Raw genomic sequence first — 17,709 nt, 5'->3', positions numbered from 1 at the left:
AGTTCAAGGCTGCAGTGAATTATGATTATGTCACTGTGCTCCAGCCTAGGCAGCAGGGCAAGACCCTGTCTCTACAAAAAATTGTTTAAAAATTAGCTGGGTATGGTAGTGCACGCCTGTAGTCCCAGCTACTGGGGAGGCTGAAGTGGGAGAATTACTGGAGCCCAGGAGTTCAAGGCTGCAGTGAGCTGTCCTGTGCCACTTGTATGGCAGCCTGGGCAACAAGGCAAGACCCTGTCTCCAAACAAACAAGCATATAATTGGGCCAAGAAAATGTTACATTTCCCTGAATATTGTAAGGAGACTAACTGGAGAACAGTCCCATTCTAAACTGACCTTTTATTTTTCCCTTCTTCAGTCTTCCAACCTTGAAGTAGTCCTATCTGTTGCCTCAGATACTGAACACTGCAGGCTACAATTATACAATGAGCAGATTGATTAAACTGCAAATTTAAATATCTTAGGATTGTCAGTGCCATTTGGCAATGTTGTATATCACTGGTCAGCTGTCTCCTGTTTCCTACAACAGATATTTAGCGTATTTTTTCTTTCAACAAATATTTCTTGAACTGCTACTCTGTTCCAGATGTTGTTCAAGTTCCAGGGATACAGCAGTGAATGATAGATGGAAGAAACCTTGCCCTCATGGAGCTTACCTTCCAGCAAAATACTAAATGTTACATGAGGGTTGGTTAAATATGAGCAGTTACTGTTGCTGGTGAATGACTCTTCTACCAATTTGCCTGGAACAGCCCTATTATAACACCCATTTATCAGTTTTAATAGTCATCTCTCCTTTTTTTTATTGTACTTTAAGTTCTAGAACAATGAGAACACTTGGACACAGGTAGGGGGACATCACACACCGAGGCCTGTTGTGGGGTGAGGGGAGGGGGGAGGAATAGCATTAGGAGATATACCTAATGTAAATGACGAGTCATCTCTTTCATTTTCAAAGGGTTCCCAGTTTGTAGAGTAAATTATATGACCGTCCTTGTTCTAAACCTTTCGTATACATTAATTCGTTTAATCTTCACAGTAACCCTATGAGGTATATGAGATTATTAACATCATTATACAGATGTAGAAAGTGAAGCATAGAGAAGTTAAATTAACCTGCCTTTGATCATACTAGGAGTAACTTGCAGAACCAGAATTCAAATCCAAACAACAGCTTGGTTCCTAGTCACCGTACTAGACTGCCTCCATACTACTGTTCTAAATCTTTAATATTTTACTCTGCCTGTCGTCTTTCCTCTCCCCAGCAAAGTAAAGCAGGTAAATTAAAACCATAAATTCACAGATGAATTTATGGTTCTCCAGAGTGAATTTCCTCCACTTGCTACTCCCTCCTTTACAAATCTGTCTTCATCTCTACTCGGCCTCACTTTATCCCTCCATTTCATAGGAATGGACATCTCTCCTCCTGTCTAAAACTTGTATTCTAGCCCCATCTCACCCTGCATTTTGTTGGACTTTGTTCTCTAAATTACTCTTCTCTTTTTCTTGGGCCTTCCGTTTCCATTGTTCCACTGGCTTTTCCCATTCAGCACGTGAAGAGGATGTCATTGTTGAAAATGTATATCACTCTTTTAAGAATTCTGCTTTACTATTGGGAGAGGTTTTTAAAAGTTTATTAATAATATAATGATGATAATGGCTACTAATTGTTACCCTATTTAAATTCCAGGTACTGTATATAATATCTAATCCTTTTAACAAACTACAAATATTTTACGGATGAAGAGATGGAAGCTCAGTGGGCTACATAACTTTCTTAGCTTATGAATAGTAGCGCTGAATTCAGTCTCATATTTGTCTTAATCCAAAGCCCATTCTATTTCAAGTATAACATGCTAGTTTATCACAATTCTTACAGACTTCCCTTGATGCTCTGCCTGTGTCTTATTGCCCTGCAGCTCTCCTTTTTATAGAAAAGCTTTGTAAAAAAAAGTATTTAATACTTGTAGACTCTTCTTGCCTTTCATTTACTTCTCGACCCATTCTAGTCTAACTTCTACTTCTGTATCACGATCCTCCAAAGAAACAGAACCGCTAGGAGATATGTCATATTATATGACATATATATGTCATATCATATATATGACATGACATATGTCATGTCATATATATGACATATATGATACATATATGACATATATATACATATTATCTATTTTAAGAATTCACTCGTGATTGTAGGGGCTGGCAGGCTGGCAAGTCTGATACCTGTAAAGCAGGCCAACGGGCTGGAAACTCAGGCAGGGTTTCTTCTCCAGGAAACCTCAGTTTTTGCTCTTGAGGCCTTCAACTGATTGGATGAAGCATACCCATACTACCAAGGCTAATCTCCTTAACCTAAATTCAATTCATTGTAATAATATTTACAGAGTAGCTTCTAATTTGCCCATAGAATCAAGATCAAAGTCCTTATCAGGAATAGAAGGCCTTCTGTGATTAGGCCTTTCCTACTCTATCTCCCATTACGCCTTTCCCATTGCCAAGTCTACTTACCAAGCCATACTGAAATATTTATAGAGCCCCAGACTTGCCATGTTGTTTGCTTCCATGTCCTGTACTGCTGTTTCTTCTGCCTGGCATGTCCAGTACCTCTGTTACTTCCCTGTCTCCCTACCCCTACCTAAGCATCAAGAAAAATTATTCCAGCACCCAGTTCAGTCTTCTCCTTTGTATAACCTTCCCCAATTCCACAAAGAGATTTGATTATACCTTTTTTCTGACATCATTGTACCTTGTTCTCAGCTCTACTGTAGCATTTACCTACGGTATTCTTTATTTTTTGTCTGATTGTTGCCTTTCAGTAACCTTCCAGGTATTTCCACTGGCTGGCATATTATAGGCACTCATCAAATTTATGGTGGTGGTGGAGATGATGAGGCCGAGTGGATCACAGGTTATTTCAGTAAGGCCATGTCCTCATATCAAGTTTTCCTGGGCTTGGATCACTTATAGAGGAGAATGGTAGTTCTAAAAGTCTCCCTTGTCGCTTCTAGAGGCTGCTGCGCCAACCTTAGCACCAGATTCCTTTTGATCTATACTTTTTATGATAATCTGATACCTATTCTCAGCCTTCATATTGCTTTTGTTTTATTTTGCTGTATCCTTGAGGCAGTTAAAAAGAAAGGACACTGTTAAATTACTATTACATTCCATCACAGGAGGAATTATGCATCAGCTTGTTCTCATGTGATTCTCATGTGCCAAAAAGTATTTTCTGAGCCAATAAAAAGAAAATTATTTTTTCAGTAGTTTTTAAATCTTCCTGTGTCCCCAAAATGTCTCCATGAATTTAATGTCAAATTAAAAACCAAGCCAAGGCTGGGTACAGTGGTGCACACTTGTAGTCCTGGCTACACGTGGGGCTGGGACAAGGGGATCACTTGAGCCCAGGAGTTCAAGGCTGTAATGCTTTATGATCATACCTGTGAATAGCCACTGCACTCCAGCCTGGGCAACACAGTGAGACCTCGTCTCTAAAATTATTAGAGGCTGGGCACAGTGGCTCACACCTGTAATCCCAGCACTTTGGGAGGCTGAGGCAGGCGGATCACTTGAGGTCAGGAGTTCCAGACCAGCCTGGCCAACATGGTGAAACTCCGTCTCTACTAGAAATACAAAAATTAGCCGGGCATGGTGGCAGGTGCCTGTAATCCCAGCTAGTCGGGAGGCTGAGGCAGGAGAATCACTTAAACCCGGGATGGGGAGGTTGCAGTGAGCCAATATCGCATCACTGCTCTCCAGCCTGGGCGACAGAGTGAGACTCTGTCTCAAGAAAAAAAAAAAATTATTAGGAAAAATGTCTGTGTTAACTCTGAGAGAACAAATAATGGCTTTTTAAAGACTGTTAATAGAATAATGAAGACTTACTGTGTTTTTAACGTGAAAATTTTAGGTGACCAAGGGTCCTGCTATAACATACTGGGGGTCATAGGATAGTAGAATGGTCAACATCTCAATTTAGACATGTTACTTCCTGCTCTAAATACACTTGTGGACGCTACTTGTGGTGTAACTCCTTATGTATTTAATAATTATCTGACTCTGGTTTTCTTGGTTGATTTTTTTAAATGGGTGAAGAATCTAGTTATGAATTCTTTGCCCTTTATGGAATGTGATATCTTGGTTTTTATTCCATCTGTTACTTCCCTTTTACTTAATTTTATCTTATTGTTTTGCGTTGTGTTTCTAAAATAATGGCTTTGGCTTGTTTTTTCCTGAATGTTTCTGCAGTTTGGTTTGAGTATCTGGGTTTGGGCACCACTCCTGAACTTGGACTCCATCTGTACTTGTGACTTTTGGAAGGCAGAGTCAGTGTTTTCTGTGGAAGATGACATTTTTTTAATATTATATATGTGTATCTCCCCCTCCCCTTTTTGGTTTCTCTTAAAAGACTGGAAAGAAAGCAGTTAAAGCAGTTCTGTGGGTCTCAGCAGATGGACTCAGAGTTGTGGATGAAAAAACTAAGGTAAGATTCTTTATTTTTATTTTGATTTATTTTATTTTTTTTGGAGATGGAGTTTCACTCTTGTCACCCAGGCTGGAGTGCAATGGCACGATCTCGGCCCACCGCAACCTCCACCTCCCAGGTTCAAGCGATTCTCCTGCCTCAGCCTCCCTAGTAGCTGGGATTACAGGCATGTGCCACCATGCCCAGCTAATTTTGTATTTTTAGTAGAAATGGGGTTTCTCCATGTTGGTCAGGCTGGTCTCGAACTCCTGACCTCAGGTGATCCGCCCACCTCGGCCTCCCAAAGTGCTGGGATTACAGGTGTGAGCCACTGCGCCCGGCCTCGCCTGGCTAATTTTTGTATTATTAGTAGATACGGGGTTTCACCATGTTGGCCAGGCTGATCTCGAACTCCTGACCTCAGGTGATCCACCGGCAGCCTCCTAAAGTGCTGGGATTACAGGAGTGAGCCACCACGCCTGGCCTAAGGTAAGATTCTTATAAGCTTAAATGGGACTGCTCATATGTTTTTTAAAATCTCTAATGATCAAATATAATACCCTTAAGCTGTTGAAGGGTATTATATTGTTGAAGCTTTATCCTTCCACTTAGTCCAAAGTACAATCTCCTGAGAGACTATTTAACGTTCAGGAAACCACTTTAGTTACTCATTTACTTTATGAGAAATAGTATTCTCTCAACATATTGTTCTACATGACATAGCATGTCTAAGGTACTAAGCATTAGCATTTAGTGTTAAGATCTGAGTTCTTTTTTTTTTTTTTTTGAGATGGAGTTTCACTCTTGTTGCCCAGGCTGGAGTGCAGTGGCACGATCCCAGCTCACTGCAACCTCCACCTCCTGGGTTCAAACGATTCTCCTGCCTTAACCTCCCAAGTAGCTGATTACAAACACAGACCACCATGCCCCGCTAATTTTTGTATTTTTGGTACAGATGAGGTTTCACCATGTTGGTCAGGCTGGTCTTGAACTTCCGACCTCAAGTGATCCACCCGCCTTGGCCTCCCAAAGTGCTGGGATTACAGGCATGAGCCACCGCTCGTGGCCTATTTTTGTTCTTATATATTTTTTAATAAGTTTCCACTCTCACAAATTTGATACAATAGATGATAGACTATCCTTTTACCATGTTTTAAAATTAAAAAAAGATGGACTCCACATCTGAAATTTCTTCTTGCTCTGAAGAAAACACTATTTTAAGAAAATGATATTTGAACTAATTAACCTGGCTTTTGACTCAAAACTCAATTTAAGTGACATCTTAAGGACTAGTGAATGGCTCTTTGGTTAACATTTACTTAGAATCCAAATAATATCTCAAATCATAGGTACCATTTTGCATTTGAGAGACAGTGATCCTAAATGCCTAAATAAGAATAGACACACAGCTCTACCCCTAGAAAGCATAGGGTGTTATATAAGTACATTTAATTGTTAATTAAAATTTCCTAGAATACCTAAAGTCAGGAAGAAATTTAACAAGAAGATAATTAAAAAAAAAAAATTCAAATGCCACTGAAAGGGGAGAAAGTCTGGCAGGTAAAAAGCAGTTTTGATAGGCAACTTGCCTGGTAAATTTCAAGTGGTTTAATATAGCTGCATTTTAGTTATTTGACCTTATTACATTGCATACTTTTTTTTAAGTTCAAGAGAAGCAATAGTCTTCACTTTTAGTACATTACTGTTGGAAACAGTGATCATTTTAATTATTTTTTGGAACTTGTGTAGTTTTCATTAGTGTTTGGATGAAATTTGTTATACTTGAAAGCTATGTATTTAATTGTTTTATACAATAGTTGGAAAGTGATATTGCCCCCTTGTGGCTACTTACACCACTGGCATTCATTAGTTTAGTTTTTTCCACACTGAATAGTAGTAATTAGTAGTCATTGGTGGCTTGTCACCATTGGGACCATCTTCCCACCTTGTATTTCACTATAAGCGGGAACTAATACCATGTTGGGATCAGTATTGGTGATAACACCATGCCATGATCTGCACAAATTTTTATGAAACAGAAGCTGAAATCTGAAGCCCTTAACCTTTGAGCAAGAAGCTCTGTCAGATTGCCTTGCTATCCCACCTCTCAACTCATGTCTATCTTGATTCTGATAGTGTTCCTACCTTTTTTTTTTTTTTTTTTTTTTTGAGACAGTGCCTTATACTGTCACCCAGGCTGGAGTACAGTGGCACAGACATAGTTCACTGCAGCCTCAGCCTCCTAGGCTGAGATAATTTTTTTTTTTTTTTTTTTTTTAGAGATGGGTTCTCACTATGTTGCCCAAGCTGGTTTCGAACCCCTGGGCTCAAGCAGTCCTTCCACCTCGGCGTCCCAAAGTGCAGAAGACAGAATTTGAGGCAACAGTAGCCACTAGAAGGTAAAAAGAGAGGCTGGGCGTGGTGGCTCACACCTGTAATCCCAGCACTTTGGGAGGCCAAGGCGGGTGGATCACTTGAGTCCAGTAGTTTGAGACCATCCTGGCCAACATGCTGAAACCCTGTCTCTCCTAAAAATACAAAAAATTCGCTGGGCATGGTGGTGCGTGCCTATGGTTCCAGCTACTTGGGAGGCTGAGGCATGAGAGTCACTTGAACCTAGGAGGCAGAGGTTGCAGTAAGCTGAGATTGCATCATTGCACTCCAGCAGCCTGGGCGACAGAGCAAGACTATCTCAAAAAAAGAAAGTAAAAAGAGAATCCTGGAAATGAGTAAGCCAAAAAGGAGTAGTCCCAAATTCTGTTCATAAATTCTGCCCAAATCTCTGACCCTTTTAGCCATGTAGATTCAAGGCAGACTCCAAATAGCCCAACTAAGGATATAAAAACTGATATTTGATTACCTACGTATGGTGACATGCACCTGTAGTCCTAGCTCCTCGGGAGGCTGAGGCGGGAGGATGCTTGAGCCCTGGAGTTGAGGTTACAGTGAGCAGTGATTGCGCCACTGCACTCCAGCCTGGATGACGGAGCAAGACAGTCTCAAAAAAAGAACAAAAACGCCCTGATGTCTGAGGTGCTGTTCAAAAGATAAGAGTTTTCCATTTGAGTATAATCAAATTAGCTACCTGATAAAACCAAAAATATGACACTTCCAAGGAATGTAACGGAATCCATTCTTTCCACATACAACATTCACAATGACTACAATGCAGTTACTCAGCATACAACAAAACAGACAAGTCTGACTTATTCTCATCAAAATAACAATCAATAAAGACCTAACTTCAAGATGACTCAGATGTTGGAATTAGCAGACAGATTTTAAATGCCCGCCTTCACTATTTGACCAAGAAATAAATGTCTCTTGTATTTGAGTCATTGTATTGTTTTGTGTTTATAGCATCACCACAACTAGTACAGAAAATGGTACACTGAAGTAGACTGCTACCTTAACAGAAATGAAAACAGTGTATAGAAGGCATTATAACTATACTCAGTGACAGAAAGGAAATATGTTCATGTTGAATGAAGAGATAGAAATCTTGGCAGAGAATAGAAACTATGAAAAAGAAACAAATGGCTGGGCACGGTGGCTCGTGCCTGTAATCCCAGCACTTTGGGAGGCCAAGGCAGGTGGATCATGAGGTCAGGAGATTGAGACCGTCCTGGCTAACACAGTGAAACCTGTCTCTACTAAAAATACAAAAAAATTAGCCGGGCGTGGTGGCACACGCCTGTAGTCCCAGCTGCTTGGGAGGCTGAGGCAGGAGAATTGCTTGAACCCGGGAGGCAGAGGTTGCAGTGAGCCAAGATCGCGCCACTGCACTCCAGCCTGGGTGACAGAGTGAGACTGTCCAAAAAAAAAAAAAAAAAAAGAAAAAGAAACGAGTGGAAATTCCACACCTGAAAAATACAGTATCTGAAGTAACTTCACTGGATCGGGTATATATAATGTAAAAAAGCAAGGTGCAGAACTGTGTGTATGTGTGTGTAGTGTTCATTGTGTAACGAAGTTAGCATAAACATGACTATTATATGTATTTGCTTATATTTGGGAATAAACCCAAAGGATTTTTTTTTTATCCAAAGGATTAAAGATACTGATTTACATATATTGTTGAATGTGGAATCTACCATGAAAGAGATGTAAAACTAGAATCAACAAGCATATGCTTTAGAACATGTAGTTGAGAGAGGTATCTGGGCAAAGTGCCTCTTGGGATGTCTGCTGAGTCCAATTCTCAGTATTTAAACTGCTGGACACAGATCTAGGTATTCCATAGCCTAGTTGTATCAGATGTATGGATTGTGCATCATGAAATGAACATCCTGTGTTCTGAGAAGCTCAGATAACCTCATAAGTCTTCTCTTTCTTTGTGTGTCGTATTTTCTAGGACCTCATAGTTGACCAGACGATAGAGAAAGTTTCTTTCTGTGCCCCAGACAGGAACTTTGATAGAGCCTTTTCTTACATATGCCGTGATGGCACCACTCGTCGCTGGATCTGTCACTGCTTCATGGCTGTCAAGGACACAGTGAGTCCAGCAAATATGTATTTCATGATGAGTATTCTCAGTTAGCTGGGCTCTTTCTGGGTTTGCTCAGCCAAGCGGTTTCTACTACATTTTTAACAAGTACTTGGAAGTGCCTAAACTAGCCTACTTTCAGCTCCTTTTATTCAAATAGTTCACACTCTTGATGTAACCCCAGGAGTTGCAACTCACTGAACAAAATGATTGGCTGAAACCAAAGATCATTAAAGGAAGGTAAAAATGGTCTGGTGATAGTGGTTGCTAAACTTTATTTGAAACTTTTAATTATTGGAAGTATTTTCAGGGTTCTTAAATGTATTTGTTGGCTAACATATATGAGTATGGTATTAAAAATGTATTTGCATAGAGACTACTACAAATGAAAGAAGTTGGCTGGGCCTGATGGCTCACCCCTATAATCCCAGCACTTTGGCCAGGGCAGGAAGATCACTTGAGACCACAAGTTGGAAACTAACCTGGGTTACATGGCAAGACCTCATCTTTACAAAGTTAAAGAAAAAATTAGCCAGGCATGGTGGCACATGCATGTAGTCCTAGCTACATTCTACATGCCTTGGGAGGCTGAGGCGAGCAGAACACTTGAGCGTAGGTGTTGGAGGCTACAGTGAGTCATCGTGCCATTACACTCCAGCCTGGGTGACAGAGTGAGACCTTGTCTCCAAAAACAGAACAAAACAAAAAAACAAAACTGAGTTGGAGTATACTTTCAACTATTATAAAAACAGAAATACCGGCCAGGCACGGTGGTTCACACCTGTAATCCCAGCACTTTAGGAGGCCGAGGCAGGCGGATCACGAGGTCAGGAGTTCAAGACCAGCCTGGCCAATATGGTGAAACCCCGTCTCTACTAAAAATACAAAAAAATTAGCTGGGCGTGGTGGTGCATGCCTGTAGTCCCAGCTACTCGGGAGGCTGAGGCAGAAGAATCGCTTGAACCCAGGAGGTAGAGGTTGCAGTGAGCTGAGATTTGTGCCACTGACTCCATCCTGGGTGACAGAGCAAGACTCTGGCCAAAAAAAAAAGAAAAAAGAAATACTGGCCGGGCATGGTGGCTCACACCTGTAATCCCAGCACTTTGGGAGGCCGAGGTAGGCAGATCACCTGAGGTCAAGAGTTCAAGACCAGTCTGGCCAACATGGTGAAACCCTGTCTCTACTAAAAATGCAAAAGTTAGCCAGGTGTGGTGGCGCATGCCTGTGATCCCAGCTACTTGGGAGACTGACTCAGGAGAATCGCTTGAACTCGGAGGCAGAGGTTGCAGTGAGCCAAGATTGCACCACTGCACTCCAGCCTGGACGACAGTAAGACTCCGTCTCAAAAATAAAACAAAAATAGGCCAGGCACGGTGGCTCACGCCTGTAATCCTAGCACTTTGGGAGGTTGAGGTGGGCAGATCACTTGAGGTCAGGAGTTGGAGACCAGCCTGGCCAACATGATGAAACCCTGTCTCTACTAAAAATACAAAAATTAGCCGGCTGTGGTGGCGGGTGCTTGTAATCCCAGTTATTCAGGAGGCTGAGGCACGAGAATCGCTTGAACCCAGGAGGCAGAGGTTGCAGTGAGTCAAGATTGCACCACTGCACTGCAGCCTAGGTGACAAAGCAAGACTCCATCTCAAAAAAAAAAAACAAAAAACAAAAACTAAACAGAAATACTAAGTTACGGTAGAATGAACAACGCTAGAAATTGTTGCATGATAGAAGTTTTGTTTTAAAATAGAGAATAATTTCATTCTTTATGTAAATTACCCAGCATTTTAACATGAAAGACAAGTCTCTTTTAAATGACAATGATTTTACTATAAGTTGAGCATTTCAAATCCGAAAATCTGAAATGCTCCAAAATTCTAAACTTTTTGAGCACCGACATGACACTCAACAGAAATACTCATTGGAGCATTTTGGATTTTGGCTTTTCGGATTTGGGATGTCAGCTTGTTAAGTATAATGCAAATATTCCAAAATCTGAAAAAAATCTAAAATCAGAAACACTTCTGGTCCCAAGCATTTCAGAAAAGAGATACTCAAACTGTATGTACAGCAAGTGTCGAGACAGAATAGGCAGTATAGCCATTCGTGAAGGTTACAGGTCAGTAAAGCTCTTGCCAACGTTTAATCTGGAAGATAAGTAGTGGCCATGGTCTAAAAATTGACCAAAATTGTTTAAAGATCTTTGAGACATTGGTGTAAACAAATGCTAAGAGCTCAGGCTCTGAGTCAGATATGGGTTTCAGTTCTGATTCTGGTTCTTACTAGCTGTGGGATTTGGGGCAAGTTACTTAACATTCTCTGTCTTGGTATACACTTCTATAAATGGAGAAAGTGGTTGTGAATACTAAATTGGATAAAGATTATAAGCACACTTAGCATAGGTTCTGGGCCACATTACTCCAAAAATTTTAGCGAATATTGTGTAAGCTGTCCTTCATTGGTTTGACACAGGTGCTTTGAAATGAGTTGAAGTAACAAAACTGTGCTTTTGTCTTCTGTTTCTCAGACCCTAAGTAAACCACAAACTGGGTATATTTTGCTATCACTACACTTTAAAAATCTGGAGTTCAAGAGTTTCCAGATAATAACTTAAAAACCATTTTGTTGTCAAATAGTGGCCCGGCAGCCTGTTTGAATCTCCTAGGCCAATAGTTCTACTGTATCAAAATCACCTGGAGGACTTGTTTTAAAACATAGATTGCTGGGCCCCATCTCCAGCGTTTTTCATTCAGTGAGTTTGGGGTTGGTACTTAAGAATTTGCACTTAAATGTTCCCAGATGATGCTGTTGGTTGGGGATGAGGTCACTCTTCAACAACTTCTGCCCTAGGCCTAGGAGAAAGAATAAGCAAGCTTCCTTGACCTGTAGCTCTGTCCTTATAATAGACCTGCGTTCAAATGCAAACACATTCTAAGAATCTTTCAGTACTCCTGTTTCATGCTTTAACATCTGGCCTAATGTCATCCTACTGGGAAGTTAGATGGAAACTCATGTGGATTCATAGAGTAATTCTATCAGTCTTTAAATAAGTAGTCAAAAGTTTTTTTAAAAAGTTTAAAAATTTTTAAAAAGTAGTCAAAGGTAGTAAAATCTTAGGGACATAAAGCATTTTAAACCTTACCTGTCCTTATGATAACTAATACTGTCATGCAAAATCCAGTGAGACGACTTGTTCAGAGCCGTGTGTAGGAGCAGCTGCCTACGTGATGTGATTTTGAGAACACCACAAAAGACTTCCTGTTCCCAAATATCTCTTCTCACTGTGAATGATGCCAACAATTATTGTACCATCTCTAGCTTTTTTATTCCACAATTAGCAAAATGGTCTAAAATACAGATAACCCTGCTAAAAATCATCCATTGAATTTATTAAATTGACTCTGGGTAATCCAGTGTATCTATATAAAGCAGTGTTTTGTTTATATACGTCCTCCACTCCTCCCATACACAAACCAGTTTTATCTGCTTAATTCTTTTATAAGTAGACAGTGTGGATGAAAACATGCTTTCACTTTTGCCTGTGTTTGGTTGGGAGGTAGAGTTGGGAATTAGAGCTAGAGGAAGATAGGAAGGGTATGGGGGAAAACCTAAAAGCACGGAGGGCCATAAATGAGGAGGGTTGCTTAGAGGGGGGATTCAGAAAGGGGAGACAGCAAAGCTTTTGTCTCATTGTTAGTTTTGTTTGTTTGTTTGTTTTTTGAGACAGGGTCTCATTATGTCACCCAGGCTGGAGTGCAGTGGCACAATTAGAGCTTACTGTAGGCTTAAGTGATCCTCCCACCTCCCAAGTAGGACCACAGACACACACCACCACCACACTCGACTAATTTTTTCTTTTTCTTTTTTTTTAATTATTATTTTTTTTGAGACGGAGTTTTGCTCTTGTTGCCCAGGCTGGAGTGCAATGGCACGATCGTGGCTTACTGCAACCTCCACCTCCTGGGTTCAAGTGATTCTCCTGCCTCAGCCTCCCGAGTAGCTGGGATTACAGGCATGCGCCATCATGCCTGGCTAATTTTGTATTTTTAGTAGAGACAGGGTTTCTCCATGTTGGTCAGGCTGGTCTTGAACTCCTGACCTCAGGTGATCCGCCCACCTCAGCCTCCCAAAGTGCTGGGATTATAGGCATGAGCCACTGTGCCCGGCCTTTATTTTGATTTTTATTTATTTTTTGAGACGGAGTTTTGCTCTTGTTGCCCAGGCTGGAGTGCAATGGCGCCATCTCAGCTCACAGCAACCTCTACTTCCCGACTTCAAGCAATTCTCCTGTCTCAGCCTCTCAAGTAGCTGGGATTACAGGCACCCGCCACCACATCCGGCTAATTTTTGTATTTTTAGTAGAGACGGGGTTTCGCCACGTTGGGCAGGCTGGTCTCGAGCTCCTGACCTCATGATCCACCCATCTCAGCCTCCCAAAGTGCTGGGATTACAGGTGTGAGCCATCGCACCTGGCCTAATTTTTTTTATTATTTTGGTAGAGACAGAGTCTCACTGTGTTATCCAGGCTGGTCTCAAACTCCTGGGCTCAAGCAATTTGCCCATCTCAGCCTCCCAAAGTGCTGGGATTACAGATGTGAGCCACCATGCCCAGCCTCATTCCTTTTTAATCACTGGAATTATATTTGTTTATCAGAAGTTTTAAGTTTGCACCTTTTTTTCCTAGACATATTAACAGTGCATTAAGCTCCTGAAATTTGCCTTGCCTTTCCAGTAGTTTCTTAGAAGTGGCTGGTAAATATTCCCACTGCTTCCCCAAAGGGCAACTAGAAGCTTGCATGTCAAGGCTTGAAACCTTGCATAGAGTCTTCTAAGCTGTTGGCCAGGGCTGACATGACAGAGCCTAAGTGATAAAGAGTTCTCCATGGCTGCTTACAAAAGCACAGGTTGCTGGTTATCACTTTACCCCAAGGCTTGTAACAGTGAATTGAACCATCATAAGCACTACCTTAGAAAATTTATTCATTTAAATTAATATGGCATACTAATCTATTAAAACAATTTTAAGCTGGAATTTGCAACATCTTGCTTTCATAAAAACAGACATTTGGGCCGAGTGTGGTGGCTCATGCCTGTAATCCCAGCACTTTGGGAGGCTGAATTGGGTAGACCACTTGAGGCCAGGAGTTGGAGACCAGCCTGCCCAACATAGCAAAACCCCATCTCTACTAAAAATACAAAAATTAGCCAGGTGTGGTGGTGCGTGATTGTAGTCCCAGCTACTCAGGAGGCTGAGGCACGAGAAGTATTTGAGCCCGGAGGCAGAGGTTGCAGTGAGCAGAGACTGCGCCACTGCACTCCAGCCTGGGTAACAGTAAGACTCTGTCTCAAAAACAAAACAAAACAAAAGACTTATTTGTATGTAATTGTTAGTAGTGTAATTCTGAAAAGCTTTTAAAATCTGCTCTTACAGGGTGAAAGGTTGAGCCATGCAGTAGGCTGTGCTTTTGCAGCCTGTTTAGAGCGCAAGCAGAAGCGGGAGAAGGAATGTGGAGTGACTGCTACTTTTGATGCTAGTCGGACCACTTTTACAAGAGAAGGATCATTCCGTGTCACAACAGCCACTGAACAAGCAGAAAGAGAGGAGATCATGAAACAAATGCAAGATGCCAAGAAAGGTACAATCTGTTCTACAGTGTGTATTTATGGAATGCAGTTTTTCCCAACAAGGTATTATTTTGAAGCTACCAGGGGTAAATTTTCTCATAATCAAAGAGAACCCTTAGCAATATAAAACCTTATAACAAAGTTGAAAATCTTAAAAACCGCTTCCTTTAGAGTGGCTAGTTTAATGGCTTCAAAAATATTTACTCCATTATAGTAAGCTATCTGAGGAATCAGAGTGCAGTTGAAGAAGCTGCAGAGACATCTCTTACCCCCTTCCTCCCATCCTGAAATACCTTTTTAATTCTGATGTATCTGATCTCTTTGAGAAGCAAATGAATCAAGTACCTGCATCTTAAAGGAAGCAGCAGAGGTCCCAGGGCTTAAGGCTGCAAAGCATCCACGGACTATGATGCTAGCAGAGAGATTTAACAGTAATACTGTTTATATGATATTATTGCTGTTTTTTAGTGCTTTCTAGTCACAAAAGTCTATAGATTTTGAGAGGTAAGCCTATAACTCTTTTTTTCTATAGCCCTGTTAATTTAATTTAGTGTGTGATTTTATAGAGTGTGAGTTTTATTTAGGTACACATGGCATCACAGCAGAAATGCCTGTACAAACATTCAAGTTAGTTGGCAGTCTATAAATGTGAGTTGGGTATATTTTACAACTAAATGATAGGGCTTGAAAATACTTTTGAATTCTTGTATATAAGTAGGGTTAAAACCAACAAGACAAGCACAAACAATTCAAGTTAACTAATAGACATTAATATAATTTTGAGGCCAGGTATAGTGGCTTACAGCTGTAATCTCAATACTTTAGGAGGCTGAGGAGGAAACATCACTTGAGGCCAGGAGTTTGTGACCAGACTGTGCAACATAGACTCTATCCCTTAAAAAAAAAAAAAAAAAAAAAAAAAAAAAAAAATTGCCATATTTGGTGGTGCACATCCGTAATCCTAGCTGCTTGGGAGGCTGAGACCAGAGGATTGCTGGAGCCCAGGAGTACAAGGTTACAGTGAGCTGTGATCATACCACTGCACTCCTCCAGCCTGGGTAACAGCAAAACCCTGTCTCTTAAAAACAAACAAATATATATATATGATAATTTTTTTTACTATAACCTTTTAGTTCTAAACTAGTCATTTTTGTTGTTGTTGTTTTGGTTTGATTTCGGTGTTTTTTTTTTTTTTGAGACAGAGTGTAGTTCTGTTGCCCAGGCTGGAATGTAGTGGCGCAGTCTCCGCTGACTGCCGCCTTCACCTCCTGGGCTCAAGCGATTCTCCTGCCTCAGCCTCCTGAGTAGCTGGGATTACAGGTGAATGCAACCACACCCAGCTAATGTTTGTATTTTTAGTAGAGATGGACTTTCGCCATGTTGGCCAGGCTGGTCTTGAACTCCTGACCTCAGGTGATCTGCCTGCCTTGGCCTCCCAAAGTGCTGGGATTACAGGTGTGAGCCACCGCACCTGACCTTAAACCAGCCCTTTTGGTTAGCATCATTGACTAATACTGACCCAAACAGCTCTAATTCTTAAGCCCCCTCCAAAAAAAAAGCATACATATTTTTATTTGAAATGAAATTATTGATAGTGATTTTTTTTCATTTCTTGTAAATATTTGCACCAGGAAGCCAAAGGGGGGAAAAATCATGCTATCTGTACTAGAAAATTTAACCTGTATTACTGTTATCTAATATGCTTTAGTGGTCTTCAGACTATTCACTAATTAAGCATGTTCTTTAATACCACCAAATAATATTCATTGTTATGCACAACAACTGCAAAGAGATTGAGTCCCAAGATCTACAAAGGATTGTGAGAGTTGGTGGTTGAGATTTGTCACAATCAGAATGGGACTCAACTGGTACCCACAGTCTTACATTTACTCAAATTTAATCCAGTTCAAAATTTTACTACTGCATGCTTTTATTCAAATGAACCACAAATGCATGATTTAAAGACTGCTTTAGGTCGGGCGTGGTGGCTCATACCTGTAATCCCAGCACCTTGAGAGGCGGAGGCAGGTGGATCACCTGAGGTCAGGAGTTCATGACCAGCCTGGCCAACAATGGTAAAACCTCGTGTGTATTAAAAATACCAAATGAGTTGGGCGTGGTGGTGTGCACCTGTAATCCCAGCTACTTGGGAGTCTGAGGCAGGAGAATCACTTGAACCTGGGAGGTGGAGGTTGCAGTGAGCCAAGATGGTGCCATTGCACTCCAGCCTGGACAAAAAGAGCAAAACTGCATCTCAAACAATAAATAAATAAATAAATAAATAAATAAAGACTGTTATATATGACATTCTTTGACACCTAATCAAAGATATATGGTTAAGCTTATGCTTATTTAGACCTTTCTAATGCTACAGTTCCCAAAGTTCTCCTCCCCTAACACACAAGCATTGAAAATCATGAATCATTCTTTAAAAGACTACATATTAGGAATTCATAGGAACTGAGTTTTTAAGATCTTTTTCACAGTCTTAATTTATAAATCACTGAATGAGAATAAAAGATCTAACATTTCTGTCTTAGTAGATATGCTTTGTGACATATAGTACATTACTAAGCCTTTTATCTGTCTGAAAAATGGATCCGAACCCTGCTTCTAACTTATGTTTTAAGAGACACTGGGAAGGAAATGGGTAAAAGGACCTAGAGGGCTTTCGAATTTGTCAGCTCTCTAAACGCAAATTATTTGAAGACATTGCTAAGGTCTTCATTCTCTTTATTTTCTTGAGCTGAAACAGATAAGATAGTCGTTGGTTCATCAGTTGCCCCTGGCAACACTGCCCCATCCCCATCCTCTCCCACCTCTCCTACTTCTGATGCCACGACCTCTCTGGAGATGAACAATCCTCATGCCATCCCACGCCGGCATGCTCCAATTGAACAGCTTGCTCGCCAAGGCTCTTTCCGAGGTTTTCCTGCTCTTAGCCAGAAGATGTCACCCTTTAAACGCCAACTATCCCTACGCATCAATGAGTTGCCTTCCACTATGCAGAGGAAGACTGATTTCCCCATTAAAAATGCAGGTAATGTAGCATCTACCTGACTCACTGGGTACTCGAGCACTGAAGCATTCTCATCACTTCCCATGAAGACACTAATCCCATTAAACTAGGCAT

General features: G+C 40.9%; 1 protein-coding gene across 5 annotated transcripts in view; it reads left to right on the top strand.

Annotated features, from left to right (window-relative positions):
• The window catches only part of NUMB (NUMB endocytic adaptor protein), a 183,331-nt gene that overhangs the window by 156,850 nt on the left and 8,772 nt on the right, over positions 1–17,709 (top strand). For all 5 annotated transcript variants that reach the window (NM_001005745.2, NM_003744.6, NM_001005744.2 and 2 more), the window contains 4 exons: positions 4,412–4,486; positions 8,823–8,963; positions 14,383–14,587; positions 17,323–17,616. In NM_001005745.2, coding sequence (NP_001005745.1) covers positions 4,412–4,486; positions 8,823–8,963; positions 14,383–14,587; positions 17,323–17,616 — 715 coding nt within the window. The remainder of the gene's footprint in view (positions 1–4,411; positions 4,487–8,822; positions 8,964–14,382; positions 14,588–17,322; positions 17,617–17,709) is intronic.

The sequence above is a fragment of the Homo sapiens genome, chromosome 14, assembly GCF_000001405.40.
Source record: "Homo sapiens chromosome 14, GRCh38.p14 Primary Assembly".
In the NCBI taxonomy this organism is placed as follows: Eukaryota; Metazoa; Chordata; class Mammalia; order Primates; family Hominidae; genus Homo; species Homo sapiens.
The sequence above is the reverse complement of the archived record's forward strand: the minus strand, read 5'-3'. Positions and strand labels throughout refer to the sequence as shown.